Below are 16,837 nucleotides of genomic sequence, written 5' to 3'. Positions count from 1 at the left end.
GCACACACCTGAGACCAACTGATTTGCAATTAGTGGAGTGAGAAACCTAGGTATGATATTTATGAAAAGCTCACCAGGTGATTCAGATGCAATGTGAAAGTTAATAACCTCTTCCTTAAATACTGTCCACCGGGCTCCGTCATACACCCTCTTCTCTCAGTACACATTCCCCCTGTGCAAACTCATGTACTCTCATGGCTTTCAGCATACAGCATGGATCTATATGCTGAAAAATCTATATATTTAGCTAGGATCTCTTGTCTCATTTGGATATAAACACTTTGATATCTTGAATGTTTCCAACTCAAACATGTGCCAAACTCAACCAATCACTCCCTTTCTCTCATGTAACCCTTTCCGCTACTGCCAATCCAAAAGAATACTAAATTCCAATAACTATACCTCTTAAATACCTCTCCAATCTATCTGTTTCTATTCCCATTCCTTATACAGGCCACCACCATTGCTTAACTGGACTGATGCTAGAACTTCTAAACTGGTCTCCCACCTGCTGTCTTGCTCTCCTCCAATCCACATTCTTCACTGCAACTGGAGTGATCGTTCTAAAATACAAACTTTATCACATTACTCTCCTCACGTTACTCAAACTTTATCACACATGAAACCTGCAAGTGACTTCCCACTGCCATCAGAATTAATTTCTAAACACCTTTACACAGTTTATAAAGTCCTTCAGGACTGTGCCCCTGCCTGCTGTGCCCCTACATTCAATGTTCAAGTTTTAAACGTTCATGAAGTTCCTAGAAGGTAGTATTCTTCTCTTACTCTAGGCACTGGCACAACATTCTTACCTGAAAGAATCTTTTTACCTCCTTCCTGCTCTAGCCAACTACCTTTTATTTTTCAGGTCTCAATTTAAATGCTATGGCTTCTGGGGAAACCTTTTCTGAATTGTTCAATCTGTGGTAAAGACCAGAGGCAGAGTTGGTATTTACCAAATAGTCAAATGTACCTCGTCTACATTGCCCAGGCTGGCTTCCAGTTTGGTTGGGGAAATAAAGCTGATTTACAAACCACTTACAAGACTGGCCCTTCAAAACATCCTGTGGGATTCTCAAACTCTCCCTTCCTCTTTCTTGGAGACCTAAGAAACCATATGCTTCTGCAAGATGGATAAGGGCCACCTAATACAAATTGGATATTATTTGAATGAAAAACAAATAACTTGTGTGATAAATTATGAAGGTTCTTACTAATAATATATGGCTTCAGCTTTCCACTCCCACAGGACTTCTTTATTACTTAGCACACTCGTTGCTACCTGTCTTCCCTAATAAGACTACAAGGATCTAGCAAGTGCTTGAAACATAGAAGGCGTTGAGAAACTATTCACTGTATGAATGAATGGATCAATATAACTTACCTTGTTTAGTACAATGCAGTAGTGCCACCACTTTGAATTTATAAGTAATACTGTACACCAAATAGTTTATCTTCTAGTATTTTTCTATAACTTTTCATCTTAGCTAAAAGTAGCTGTGTAAACTTTGTATCCTATTTTTTTCACTTAACATAAACATATACCTTTGCTGTTATAAATTTATCATAAATATCAGTTATAATAAGTATATAATATTCCTTTTTATAGAAATACTGTCATGTACCCAAATATTCCCTATTCTTGGACATTTAGGTAGTTTCCTGCAATCAATTTCAGATGCAAGATTGTTTCTATCCCTGTTCAACTTACATTTTGAATAACTTCCCCCATATTTCAAAGGTTTCATTTTCTTTTTTACCCTGGTTTCCTTGAAAGTTTGAATTTTGTCTTAATATTTTGTTATATCTCTATAATATGCCTCACTAGGTGCCTTGAATTGAATAAACATTGATAATATGTATTATATTTTTAATGAAGCTATCAATTTCAAAACAAAGGGTACTTCTGGGTGTTGTATTAAGAAGACATTGTTGAACAAAATATAAATCCAATGACAGTACAATTAAAAGAAACATAACAAAAATGGGGACATAGCACTGATTTTAATGATTCTTTCTCTCTCTTATTTTTTTCCCCATAATACTTCAAAGACAACTGAGGTTTTAATTCGCAGAACAATCAGAGCCAAGGAAAGCACAATGGCTTGGTGTCAGAACATCCAGGTTCAAGTGTTGGCCACTTCACTCAGTAGTTGTATGGCCTCAAGCATATCTCTGTATTTCTGTTATTTTCAAAATGAGAGATGTACATCACTTTCTATGGCAGGGTTTTTTAACCTCACATTGTTGACATTTTGGACTGGATAATTTTTTGTTATTGAGAGCTGTCCTGTGCACTATAAGATGTTTAGCAGCATCCATGACCTGTATCCACTAGATGCCAGTAGCAATACCCCAAGCACTCAGGTCTGGAGAGTCAAAATTTTTCCAAACATTGCCAAATGTGCCTGGAGGGACAAAATCACTCCCAGTTGAGAACTGCTGCTTTGCAGTAAGGAATAAGACTATTGTATGATTCTACAGCTTTGTCATTTTAGCAACTTATCTGCTAGCTTTTTCCAGAATGCTTAATAAATTTCCAGTTAAATGTTTATAGTCTGTGTCATTTCCTTTTTCTTCTGTGCTTTCTTATAATTTGCTTTGAAATGGTCAAAAGCATACCAGAAAAAGAAAGTGGAAAAATGTAAATATTACATTGATTATACAAGGACAACTGATTTGTCCTTAGAAAATTAAAAATTAATAATATCACTTTTAACTTTCAATAGCATTTCAATTACTTTTTCTATATTCTCTTTCAAGAGAAAATTGTACCTCAATTTCCCTTCCTTCTCCCCACATAAGATGGTTTAAGGTGGCTTTATAGCTCAGAGAACCCAATTAACATTTAACATTCCAAACACAGAACATCTCAAAATGCTTCTCGTTCATAGCATTTTTCTCAAGTCTGATGAAGGTAGCCAGAAAAGTTAAAAAAAAAAAACTAACTCAGAATAACTTAATTAATTTTAAAATAGGTATTATACATAAAGATATGTATTGCTCATAAGTAATCTATATAAATGTGCACATCTGCTTTATTCTGCACACCCTACAATACTTTATAATGTTAAATCTAATTGTTAATTGTTTCCACCTTTTATAAGAGAGGAATCAGTATGAACCTAAAAATAAAGTCTTCAAAATACACCCTATATTACTATAGCACTTTGGTACTAAGTAAATCATATACACTTTTTACTTACATACAGATTGCATGTGTATTACAGGGATTAAATAATGAAACCAATAATACAAAATATGAGGTGGTCAGCTATAAATCATTTCTTGAGCAGATTTATATTTCTTATTTCCTATAATATCTAATGTAGAAATATCACAAAGAAGTAGTTTAATTATTAAGCAACAGAATAAGGGAAAAATGTTCACTTTCAAGTACTTTAAAAAATGTTATCTGAATATTCACTGTGTTCTTTTAGGAATTTGAAAATAAGCATTTTTATAACAAGTAACATTTTTCCACCTGTTAAATAGGGCTGCTGAATCTGGATTTACTAAAAGTGATCCAACATTTCCAAGTGATTAGGCATATGCTGGGAATGTCAATCTTTTAACTATATTTAGTGAACAAAGTAAAATCACTTGCCACAGTTTTATTTATTCATTTATTATTTATACCCTGCTAGCTTCCAATAATTCAGGATGATTCACCTGGCCTTTTATACGCTGGAGTTATGAGGCAGCACTGAGTATAGAAAAAACACTAGCTTTGAAATCAGATTCACCTAGGTTTAAATCCTGTTGTGCAGCAAAGTACCTGCAGAATCTTAGTCAAGTCACTTATCTTACTCTCTGAGCAGCAGATTCTATACCTATTATCTCTATGTATAGCTATATGTACCTGGCTTGTAGCTGGCATTCCATGAGTTATTTTTCTTCTTCTTAAATATTTAATTAGGCTTTTAGAAAATTAACTGTGATTTGTTTTTAATAACATTCTCATCCAGATTTTACAAAATAAGGATTTTAGTACTGTGCCTGATAGGAAAAACATCAATATTTCAAAATATCAATACAGATAACACCCTGGCTTCATTCATTTTTTGGAACTGCTTTATATAGTCATACCACTAACTATAGTTAAATACTACTTAAAGGGTACCTATGAAAATGATTTCCTCAAGTCTTCTATGATAACTTCTCTTAGGAGTTGACATTCAAGCTGAGATCTAACAGGAAACAGACATTGAATGACTGAAAGTAATAACATGCAGAGGGAACAATTTGTGTAAATGATCTGAAGTGGAAACAAGCTTGGTGTGTCCAAAATTGGCAAGTCAATTTGGATTATAAATGAGGGTGGCCAAATCAATCATGTCTTTTGGGTCAGAGTAAATAATTTGTAGAGTTTTATGCAAGGAAAGAGCTCCAATACACCACACTTTAAAATACTGCCAGTAGAGTACAAATAATGAGCACTACAATTAATCTGTTGGAACTGTATTTACAAAAACAAGGTCTCAACATACAAGTAACAATATACATTCAGTTAGTTGAAGTACAGTGCCAGTAGCATTAAGCATGGTCTAAGAAATTTAGGGCAGTTAAAAAAAGTCAGAGGCATGGAAGGCTCTGCCACTTATAACCATGTGATCATGGGCATGTCTCTTCAGCTCTCTGTACCTTAGTTTCTTTATCTATAAAAGAGAACACAACAAGTTTCTCCAAGAATTGTTATGAAAATGAAATATGATAACAAATACACAATATTCAGAAATTACCTGTTATTTTGTGGGTACTTAATAAGTAGTTCTTGTAATAATTATGTTATTCCAATTCAGTTTCTTCTGCTCTTCCAGATAGATTCGTCATCTCAAAACAACAAAGATACACTGATACATGCTAGGTTTTTAAGAAAATTCTTTCTTTTACACTGAAATTTCCATAGCCTCAACATCTCAATGAACATATATTATATGTGTGTCAATATCTGAATATTTAAATACACTTGTACACTAATATAGTTAAGAATAATAATGAGCATGTATTTTAAATCAATATATAAAAACCTATATACTAAATAGATGTTGCTGCATTTAAAGTACAAGATCACAGGGCTACAATTATTCAAAACAGCTTTGAACTCTCTTCTATACCCAGTATAATAATGAATTTTAAAGCTCCACAAAAATCTATTTTTAATTTTTACTTGCTTTTGACCAAAAATCTAACAAACAAAACACAAAATCAAAAACCTGCCTCATCAGACATTATTCACAAAGACAGCTGTCTGTAAAAATCAAACATAACCCTCAAAAAAATGACTGATAATACAAATAACATTCAAAATAACAGCAAAGTCTCTGAAGACAACCTTAGGAGTTTCCAGTGTTTAAGCAAAGCAGCATTAATGACATAGTGCATAGCCTCCTATGAGATTACTTTGTAAGTTGCCTGTTTGCATAGATAGTTTCTAGGATATTAGTTTAAAAGCAGTCTACCAGCCAGGTGCGGTGGCTCACTCCTGTAATCCTAACACTTTCGGAGGCCAAGGTGGGTGAATCACTTGAGGTCAGGAGTTCAAGACCAGCCTGACCAACATGGTGAAACCCTGTTCTACTAAAAATACAAAAATCAGCTGGCCGTGGTGGCATGTAATCCCACCTACGCGAGAGGCTGAGACAGGAGAATCACTTGAACCCTCAAGGCAGAAGTTGCAGTCAGCCAAGATCGCGCCACTGCACTCCAGCCTGGGTGACAGGGCGATACTCCGTCAAAAAAAAAAAGGTCATGATAGATAAGAAGCTAGCTTTTCTAACTTCTTGGCAACAGTACTTCAATATTCTTTCTTCCTGGCCTCAGTTTTTGTTTTGTTTTGTTTAAATTTTTTTTTTTTTTTAATTTCAAAAGTTTTGGGGGAACAGGTGGTGTTTGGTTGCATAGAAAAGTTCTTTAATGGAGATTTCTGAGATTTTGGTGAACCTATCACCTGAGCAGTATATACTGTACCCAATGTGTAGTCTTTATCCCTCACCCCCCAACCCTTACTCCTGAGTACCCAAAGTCCATTATATTATTCTTATGCATTTGCATTCTAATAGCTTAGCTCCCACTTGTAAGTGAGAACACACAATGTTACTCACTTAGAATAATGGTTACTTCACTTAGAATAACGGTCCCCACTCCATCCAGGTTGCTGTGGATACCACTATTTCATTCCTTTTTATGGCTGAGTAGTATTCCATGGTATATACATACACATCACATTTTCTTTATCCACTTGTTGGTTGATGGACATTTAGGCTGGTTCTTTATTTTTGCAATTGCAAATTGTGCTGAGATAAACATGCATGTGCAAGTGTCTTTTTCGTATAATGACTTATTTCCCTCTAGGTAGATACCCAGTATTGGGATTGCCGGGTCAAATGGTAGTTCTACTTTTAGTTCTTTAAGGAATCTCCACGCTGTTTTCCACAGTGGTTGTACTAGTTTACATTCCCACCAGCAGTGTAAAAGTGTTTCCTTTTCACCACATCCATGCCAACATCTGTTATTTTTTGATTTTTTAATTATGGCCACTTTTGCTGGAGTAAGGTGGTATCTCATCATGGTTTTGGTTTGCATTTATTTACCTGATAATAAGTGATGCTGAGCATTTTTCCATGTTTATTGGCCATTTATATGTCTTCCTTTGGGAAATGTCTATTTATATCCTTTGCTGACTTTTTGATGGGACTGTTTCTTTCTTGATGATTTGTTTGAGTTCCTTGTAGATTCCAGATATTAGTCCTTTGTCAGATGCATAGTTGCAGAATATTTTCTCATACTCTTGGGTTGTCTGTTTACTCTGCTAATTACTTCTTCTGCTGTGCAGAAACTTTTTAGTTTAATTAGGTCCCATCCGTTTATCTTTGTTTTTGTTTTTGTTGCATTTGCTTTTGGGTTCTTGGTCATCAACTCTTTGCCTAAGCCAATGTCTAGTAGAGTTTCTCCAATGTTATCTTCTAGAATTTTTATGGTTTCAGGTCTTATATTTAAGTCTTTGATCTGTCTTGAATGGATTTTTGTATAAGGTGAGAGATAAGGATCCAGCTTCATTCTTCTAAATGTGGCTTGCCAATTATCCTAGCATGATTTTTTGAATAGGGTATCCTTTCTCCACTTTATGTTTCTGTTTATTTTGTTGAAGATCAGTTGGCTGTAAGCATATGGCTTTATTTCTGGGTGTTCTATTCTATTCTATTGGTCTACGTGCCTATTTGGATATCAGTACCATGCTGTTTTGGTAACTATAGCCTTGTAGTACAGTTTGAAGTCAGGTAATGTGATGCCTCTAGATTTGTTCTTTTTGCTTAGTCTTGCTTTGGCTATGCGGGTTCTTTTTTGGTTCTATATGAATTTGAGGATTGTTTTTTCTAGTTCTGTGAAGAATGATGATGGTATTTTGATGGGAACTGCACTGAATTTGTAGCTTACTTTTGGCAGTAAGGTCATTTTCAGAACATTGATTCTACCCATCTGTGAGTATGGGATGTGTTTCCATTGTTTATATTGTTGACGATTCATTTCAGCAGTGTTTTGTTTCCTTGTAGAGGCCTTTCACCACCTTGGTTAGGTAGATTTCCTAAGCATTTTATTTTCTTTGCAGATGTTGTAAAAGAAGTTGAGTTCTCAGCTTGGTCATTGTTGGCATATAGCAGTGCTACTGACTTGTGCACATTGATTTTGAATCCTGAGACATTACTGAATTCATTTATCATATCTTTTTGGAAAAATCTTTAGAGTTTTCTAGGTATATAATCATATCATCAGCAAACAGCGATAGTTTGACTTCCTCTTGGATGCCCTTTATTTCTTTCTCTTGTCTGATTGTTATGGGTCTGATTCACTATGTTGAATAGAAGTGGTGAAAGTGGACATCCTTGTCTTGTTCCAGTTGTCAGGAAGAATGCTTTCAACTTTTCCCCATTCCATATGATGTTGGCTGTGAGTTTGTCATACATGGCTTTTATTACTTTGAGGTATATCCCTTCTATGCTGTCTTTGGTGAGGATTTTAATCATAAAAAAATGCTGTGTTTTGTCAAATGTTTTTTCTGTATCTATTGAAATAATCATATAATTTTTGTTTTTAATTCAGCTTATGTGACGTATCACATTTATTTACTTGCAGTATGTTAAACCATCCCTGCATCCCTGGTATGAAACCCCACTTTATCATGGTGTATTATCATTTTGATATGCCGTTGGATTCGGTTTGCTAGTATTCTGTTGAGAATTTTTGCATCTATGTTCATTACAGATATTGGCCTATGGTTTTCTTTTTTTTGTTATGTCCTTTCCTGGTTTTGGTATTAGGATGATACTGGCTTCATAGAATGATTTAGGGAAGATTCTCTCTATCTTTATCTTTTGGAATGGTTTCAGTAAAATTGGTACCAATTCTTCTTTGAATGCTTGATAAAATTCAGCTGTGAATCCATCTGGTTCTGGACTTTTTTGTTGTTGTTGCCAATTTTTAAATTACTGTTTCAATCTCGCTAGTTGTTATTTTTCTGTTCAGAGTTTCTACTTCTTCCTGATTTAATCTAGGAGGCTTGTATATTTCCAGGAATTTATCCATCTCCTTCAGATTTTCTATTTTGTGCGTGTAAAGGTGTTCATAGTAGGCTTGAATGATCTTTTGTATATCTGTGGTATTGTTTGTAGTATCTCCCATTTTGTTTCTAATTGAGCTTATTTGAATCATCTCTTTTCTTCATTAATCTTATTAATGGTCTATCAATTTTGTTTATCTTTTCAAATAACTGGCTTTTTATTTCATTTTCTTTTGTATTGTTTTGTGTTTCAATTTCATTTAGTTCTGCTCTGATCTTTGTTATTTCTTTTCTTCTGTTGGGTTTGGATTTGGTTTGTTCTTGTTTCTCTACTTCCTTGAGGTCTGACCTTAGATCGTCTATTTGTGCTCTTTCAGAGTTTTTCATGTAGGCATTTAATGCTATGAACTTTCCTCTTAGCACCATTTTTCCTGTGTCCCAGAGGTTTTGATAAGTTGTGTCACTATTATCATTCAGTTCAGATAATTTTTTACTTCCATCTTGTTTTCATTGTTGACCCAAAGATCATTCAGGAGCAGATTCTTTAATTTCCATGTATGTGTATGGTTTTGAGGTTCCTTTTGGAGTTAATTTCCAATTTTATTCCACTGTGGTCTGAGAGGGTACCTGATATAATTTATTTTCTTAAATTTATTGAGACTTACTTTGTGGTCTATCGTATGGTCTATCACGGAGAATGTTTCATGTGGTGATGAAAAGAATGTCTATTTTGCAGTTGTTAGGTATAATGTTCTGCAAATATCTGTTAAGTCCATTTTTTCTAGGGTGTAATTTGTTTCTTTGTTGACATTCCGTCTTGATGACCTGTCAAGTGTTCTCAGTGGAGTACTGAAGTCCCCCCACTATTATTGTGTTGCTGTTTATCTTATTTCTTAGGCCTAGTAATAATTATTTTATAAATTTGGAGGCTCCTATGTTAGGTGCACGTATCTTTACAATTATAATATTTTCCTATTGGTCTGATCCTTTTATGATTGTATAATGTCTGTCTGTGTCTTTTAAACTGTTGTTACTTTAAAGTCTGTTTTGTCTAATATAAGGACAGCTATTCCTGCTTGCTTTTTGTTTCCATTTGCATGGAATATTTTTTTCCACCCTTTACCTCAAGTTTATATGAGTCCTTATGCATTAGGTGAGTCTCTTGAAGACAACAGATACTTGGTTGGTGGAGTTTTATCCATTCTGCCATTCTGTACCTTTGAAGTGGAGTATTCAGGCCATTTGCATTCAATGTTAGTATGGAGATTTGAGGTACTTCATCATACTAGTTGTCACCTGAATACCTTAGATTTTTTTCATTGTGGTATTTTTTATAGGTTCTGTGAGATTTATGCTTTAAGAAGGTTCTATTTTTGTGCATTTTGATATTCTGTTTCAAGATTTAGAACTCCTTTTAGCATTTCTTGTAGTGTTCACTTGGTAGTGAAAAATTCTCTCAGTATTTGTTTGTCTGAAAAACTTTATTTCTTTTTCATTTATGAAGCTTAGTTTTGCTGGATATGAAATTATTGGATGGTAATTATTTTGTTTGAAGAGGCTAAAAATAGGACCCTAGTCCCTTGTGGCTTGTAGGGTTTCTGCTGAGAAATCTGCTATTAATCTGACAGGTTTTCATTTATAGGTTACCTGATGCTTTAGACTCACAGTTCTTAAGATTCTTTCCTTTGTCTTGACTTTGGATAACCTGATGACCGTGTGCTTGGGTGATGATCCTTTTGAGATGAATTTCCCAGATGTTCTTTTAATTTCTTATAATTGGATGTCTAGATCTCTAGTGAGGCCAGGGAAGTTTTCCTCAATTAATCCCTCAGATATATTTTCCAAACTTTTAAATTTATCTTCTTCCTCAGGAATAACAATTATTCTTAAGTTTGACCATTTAACATAATCCCAAATTTCTTGGAGGATTTATGTCTTTAAATTCTTTTTTCTTTGCCTTTGTCTCATTGGGTTAATTCAAAAGCCTTGTCTTCAACGTGTGAAGTTCTTCTTTCTGTTTGATTCTATTGTTGAAATTTCCAGTGCATTTTGTATTTCTCTAAGTCTATCTTTCATTTCCAGAAGTTGTATTTTTTTTTTCGTTATGATATCTATTTCTCTGGAGCATTCTTCATCCATATCCTGTATTTTTTTAAAATTTATTTCAGATGGTTTTCACCTTTCTCTGGTATCTCTTTGAATAGCTTAATAGTCAACCTTCTGAATTCTTCATCTGGCAATTCAGAGATTTCTTCTTGGTTTGGATCCATTGCTAGCAAGCTAGTGTGGTCTTTGGGGGTGTTACAGAACCTAGTTTTGTCATATTATCAGAATTACTTTTCTGATTCCTTCTCATTTGGGTAGACTATGGTAGTGGAAAAATGTGGAACTAGAGTGCTGCTGTTGAGATTCTTTTGCACCATGGGGCAATCCCTTGATATGGTGCACTCCCTTTTGTCCTAGGAATGGGGCTTCCTGAGAGCCAGACTACAGTGATTGTTATCACTCTTCCGGGTCTAGCCACTGAATGGGGCTACCAGACTCTGGGCTGGTGCTGGGGAATGTCTGCAAAGAGTCCTGTGATGCAATCCATACTCCGGTCTCCCAGCCATGGATACCAGCACCTTCTCTGGTAGAGGTGGCAGGGAGTGAAGTAGACTCTGTAATTGGTTGTAGAAGTGTTTAGTGTGCTAGCATTCTCGAATGCTGGTTATAGTAGCAGTGACAGTCACATGGACAAACTCAGGATCACTGGTTAGCCAGGATGTTGCAGGCAGCAGAATTCACTGTTGTCTTCTCTTTCCTTGGAGCGGGGTTGTTGGTTCATGAGTTGCTATAATGTCCTGAGTTGGTTGGCCTCCAGCCAGAAGGTGGCAATTTGGAGACAGCACCAGAGTTTTTTGCCAGTCTCACAGAATTTGCAGCAGCCTGCTGCTGCTTTCAAAGGATTGGTGATTTCTTTCAGTTTTTCTGGTATACTCCTGTGGTGGTTCCTGGAGCAAAAGTCCATGGTGTGAGTCTCCATATGCTGTTCTATTCATCCGAGTGGGAGCTGCAGGTCAGCCCTGTCTCCTATCTGTCATCTTCCCTCTACCTCTAGCCTCAGTTTTTTTTAATAACTGCAATCACCTATCATGTATTTTTGCTTCCTCTTTTCTGTCATTATTGTGGCAAAAACCATTAGCCTTCCTTATGAAAGGAAGATTGAGAGATAGAGAAGGGTCAAATGGGTAATTCAAAATTAAAGATAAAGGCGAGGTAGTAAAGACAGATGGAAGTCTAGTCCCATTTACTTCCAAATAAATACCAGAACTACGGGTAGCATAAAGAGGAAAGGATTTAGACAGGGCACTTCCTAAGATCTAAAGAAGAAAAGAATGAAGAGAACAGTGAAGACAGGAAATACAAAAAGAATCCCACCCCTATTCTGTATCCTGTTGGGTAAATGTAACTCTAGCAGTAGTCTGAGCCTGTTCCAATTCCTACTCTAATTGCACGAGTGGGATAAGTGAGTCTCAGAAATTATGTAAAGGCTGTGGTAGGGGTTTGTTTATGTTTGGGGATGAGCCAGGGTCAGGTAAGGAGACAGGTATACTTTAAAAATATTTTGCATTAAAACACTGTCATAAGTTCCATAGAACTAATATTATGCCTTATGTACATTAAATAAACATAATATCACCATGCATAACCACCATGTAAAAAAAATTCTATGAGAAAACAGATTCTGAATGACAAAACTGATATGCAAATTGGAGGTTGACTGTATTGTCTCTTCAGGATGATGGAATCTATTATGGTTAACAGTTACAAAATATGTGACTCCAGAGTCACATGACTATACTACTAATGGTATACAAATATCTCTCTCTAGAAATCCTCAGGGCCAGTAAAGTTTCAGAAACCATACACACACACACACACACAAACACATTTTAAACATAAAATATATACCATGTATATATTTAATTTTAGAAAGGCTATATAGTACATATACTATATATATGATGCAATAGCCCAGAAGTGACTGAGGCAGCACTTGAGAATCACACGCATCAGCATCTCTGTAGTGAAATATAAGAATAGTCACATATAGGAAATATAAAGTCTATAAACAGTATCATGGAAGTTGAGCTCTGTACTTCCACCAAGAGTTTAGTTCAAGTCAGGTTTTGCTGTGTGAACTACGTATACATTTACGTAAATTTTCTTATAAATAAAACAGTAGATTTTCCCCTCCAGATCTTTTTGCAAATTCACAATTATAGATAAAGGACTATGAACATTTATATCAGTATTTCCATTCTCTCAGTGTCTTTATATGGATGGTTCATGATTACCATTAAAAGAGAAATTTGGGGCTTTCTAACTAGCTCCAAAACTTTTTTTTTTTGAGACGGAGTCTCGCTATGTCGCCCAGGCTGGAGTGCAGTGGCGGGATCTCGGCTCACTGCAAGCTCCGCCTCCCGGGTTCATGCCATTCTCCTGCCTCAGCCTCCCAAGTAGCTGGGACTACAGGCGCCCGCCACTACGCCCGGCTAATTTTTTGTATTTTTAGTAGAGACGGGGTTTCACCGTTTTAGCCGGGATGGTCTCGATCTCCTGACCTCGTGATCCGCCCGCCTTGGCCTCCCAAAGTGCTGGGATTACAGGCGTGAGCCACCGCGCCCGGCCGCTCCAAAACTTTTAAAAGCACTGGAAGTAATTGCTCTGGTGCCCAAGGATTCCTGTAAAAGTTTCAAGAGTCTCAGTAACGGGAAAAGAACAAAATTTCTCTTGTTTTGGATGTTAGAAAATGACATTGTTCAAAATAGGAGGTTTAAATTAGTTTCTAATCTTAAATTAGCAACAATCAACCACAATTACCAGTAACAATAATAATAGTGATGTGGGGAACCTTGCTTTATACGGACTGCCAACAAAACCCACCATTCCTTGTTTCCTCTCACTCAAGCAAAACTCCCTGGACCTGAGCAATGTTGTTCACCTCTGCTCTTGTTTCAGTGGGCATAACCTGCTGTGTTGTTTACACAGACCAACACAAATGTGGCACAGGGGATGCTATTTCTGGGTCAATCTGCATGGGTGTTTCCTTCTCTCTTCTTCCTACTAACCCCTTTGGTGACATTTTCTATCTCAGTAGTTGGAGTCAACTCATTTATGCCTTGATGGAATTGTTTGACTTCAAATTGGACTCCACCTTCTATTGTTTACGAATTAAGAAAAAATGATGGCAACAAGGAAATATTATTAGCCAGAGGTACAGAGTTAGGGAGTGGATTTCTTAAGAATGTGGGCAAATGCCTCAGGATAAAAACCAGCCATCACTAAATGAAAATGACAAAAATATTTTACATGATACCCTGTATTTACATAATGGCTGGTTCCCAAAAATTTCATGGTAATGCACTTTTTAATGTCCAGAAAAGTTTTAAAAAAAGAAAAGCAAAAATCAGCTAAATTTAAATAACCAAAAGTATATGATATTCACATACTGCAGATTAATTACTTAGCCCTAAAAAAAGGCAGAACCTATTAAAGATATTGTGTTGTTTCTGAGGCAAAGATCTCAATTGGCCTAAATTTCCATGGAAAGATTAATGTAACAATGCTGAAAAATCTATATTGAAATAATGACTTGGAAATCAATAAACACTGTACTGAAGTATTTTTAAAACTATATTTTAAAAGGCAGATAATTAGAATAGATATTACCTGAGGTCTGTCAAAATTGTTTTATTTTGTCAATCATAATACAATACCTTTTATATGTCCTTCATGTTAGAATATTTTTAATTCTAGTTGGGCAGAATTACATAATATAATCCTAATGTAAAGATTAAATCTTCTAACTAGACATGTCACAAGGAGTTGGTGGCATCCCCGTAGGAGAACAGAAGCATGGAAAAGGCTAAGTGATCTGCCCAATATTAATGGTGACATAAGATCTTAGTATTTGACTTTAAATGCAATAAGTACTACACAGATCTGTGTTCTACCATGTGAAAGTTCGTCTTGTATTGCAAACAGCAAAACGAGAGACTTTATAAAGCATTTCTACATCAAGTTTTCAATCTTTTTGTGTAAACTACATCTTGAGGAGGAAAAGTCTTCTGGTATTGAAAATGTGAAGGGTACAAAAATACTTTTAAAATCAAGTATGTAAACAAAGAATAAAAATAAAACTATTCAGCCAGGTGCAGTGGCTCATGCCTGTAATCCCAGCACTTTGGGAGGCCGAGGTGGGTGGATCATGAGGTCAGGAGATCGACAGCATTCTCAGCAACATAGTGAAACCCCATCTCTACTAAAAATACAAAAATCAGTCGGGCGTGGTGGCGTGCGCCTGTAGTCCCAGCTACTCAGGAGGCTGAGGCAGGAGAATCACTTGAACCCGAGAGGCAGAGGTTGCAGTGAGCCAAGATCGCGCGACTGCACTACAGCCTGGATGACACAGCAAGACTCCGTCTCAAAAATAAAATAAAATAAAATAAAAATAAATAAAAAATGAAACTATTTGAGTAAGGACAGGGTGTAATATAGGACCTTGATTGCGATCCTCTATTTCTTATTCTTGAATAAAATATGTTAATAGCATAAAGTTAAAATAATATACATATTATATTTTGGATGGACCATGTATATGTCTTTTTATCTTCTCAATTTTTAAAAATTTCATTTTTAACAAAGAAAATATGTTCCTTGGTTTCAGTTAACCAGAGGCTATGATTTAAAATAATAAATAACGCTAAACTGTAATCAATCCTTTCGCAAAAATATTTTCCACTTGATAGTAAATATTTCCTAGTATTTCAAAAGCCATAATCTCATTAATAAGCCAAACCAATTAACCATCTATAAAGTTGCTTTGTGAATGGATTTTATTGATATCCTGATTTTTGCAATGAAGATTCATTAACATTTTATATAGCAGAAATATTGGATGGTTAATAAGCGCAAAAGAAGAACACAGGTTTTAGACATTCAGCTTTTGAATCCTTTTACTAGTGATGAAAACTGGCAAACATGACAACAGAGCTCAGATTCGGGGACCAAACAGACTTGGATTTAAATCCCCTCTCTCACTTAGTATCTGAATGACTTTGGGCAAATGCCAACCTCTTTGGGCCCCAGTTTTGTCACAGGTTTATTGAAGGACTATAGGAGATCATGCCTACCAAGGGCAAGAAAGACAATGAGATGATACCTAATAAATGTTGTTTATAATTATTAATAATACTTTTATAGAGGATAACCTACGTATTTTGTTGGAAACAAACCAGATGATCTTGAATTTGTTCCAAGGCCACCAGCAAAAAGGTAAGATTATTTTACTACTTTCTGAGTTGCAAATAAACAGGAGAGTTCCATAATAAAAAACCCCTTCCTCTGAAATCACATGCAGATTAAGTCACGGAGGTATAATTGAGTTGTAGATGTGTGAGCCTACTGTTTTATTCCTCAAGTGGACAGTAAACTCTGTAAGGGCTAGGACCATGTTTGTTTCTTTTACCACTTATTCCAACATTTAGCAGAGCTCTGGTACATGGTAGTGACTCAGTAAATATCTGATGAATAACTGAAAAAGTGAATGAATATGCTAATGCCAATCAGAGAAGAAATAGAAGGACAAAAAGGTGAATAATAGAAAATATGACCATCTAAGATGATGAATAATCCAGACTGAGATGCTGGTAGTACTGGGCAAATGGCATAGACCTGAAGAGTTCAGAGAACCTGTTACAGTCAAAAGGAATAAAGATACTTGAAAGAAGCTTGACAGAGAAGGATAAGTGCTCTGGAAAAGGGAAGACACCACAGAAGACACTGAATAAATGAAAAGAATTGAAAAACTCAGGGTTCAGATAAAAGATGCTGTTGTATAAGCATTCAAAAGGTCTTGTAGAGAGCAGTTTCAGCCTAAAATTGTGGAAAGGTGTGGGGTTTGTGAAAAGAAATTTTGCTTTCTCATAATCTAAAGGATTCATGAGAAATGCCTCTGGTTTTGCATATGAAGTGCGAAGTATTTCCTCAAAGAGGAATAAGTATGGAAGAAAACAGCAACCAAAAAGAATGATGCTACAGAATGGAAGCAGAATGATTCAGAAGAGCCTAAAAATGAATTATATAGACTCATGCGGAAGTGAATAAAAGGAAATAATAAGTGTATTAGCTATGGGCAAGATTACTTACCTATGAAATAAATGCAATCACTCTCAAGATGAGTAGTTACTGCTCTTTTATATGATTCTGTATTCTAAGATACCTGGAATTTCTCCC

General features: G+C 35.6%; 1 protein-coding gene across 26 annotated transcripts in view; it reads right to left on the bottom strand.

Annotated features, from left to right (window-relative positions):
• The window catches only part of MBD5 (methyl-CpG binding domain protein 5), a 496,045-nt gene that overhangs the window by 418,298 nt on the left and 60,910 nt on the right, over positions 1–16,837 (bottom strand). The window contains exons 1-2 of one of the 26 annotated variants that reach the window (XM_047445063.1): positions 4,743–5,536; positions 4,124–4,190 (exon numbers count right to left, since the gene is read on the bottom strand). The exons of 24 other annotated variants lie outside the window; for them this stretch is intronic. The gene's annotated coding sequence lies outside the window, so the exon portion shown is untranslated. One more of the 26 variants, XM_047445077.1, reaches the window with a different exon arrangement.

The sequence above is a fragment of the Homo sapiens genome, chromosome 2, assembly GCF_000001405.40.
Source record: "Homo sapiens chromosome 2, GRCh38.p14 Primary Assembly".
In the NCBI taxonomy this organism is placed as follows: Eukaryota; Metazoa; Chordata; class Mammalia; order Primates; family Hominidae; genus Homo; species Homo sapiens.
The sequence above is the reverse complement of the archived record's forward strand: the minus strand, read 5'-3'. Positions and strand labels throughout refer to the sequence as shown.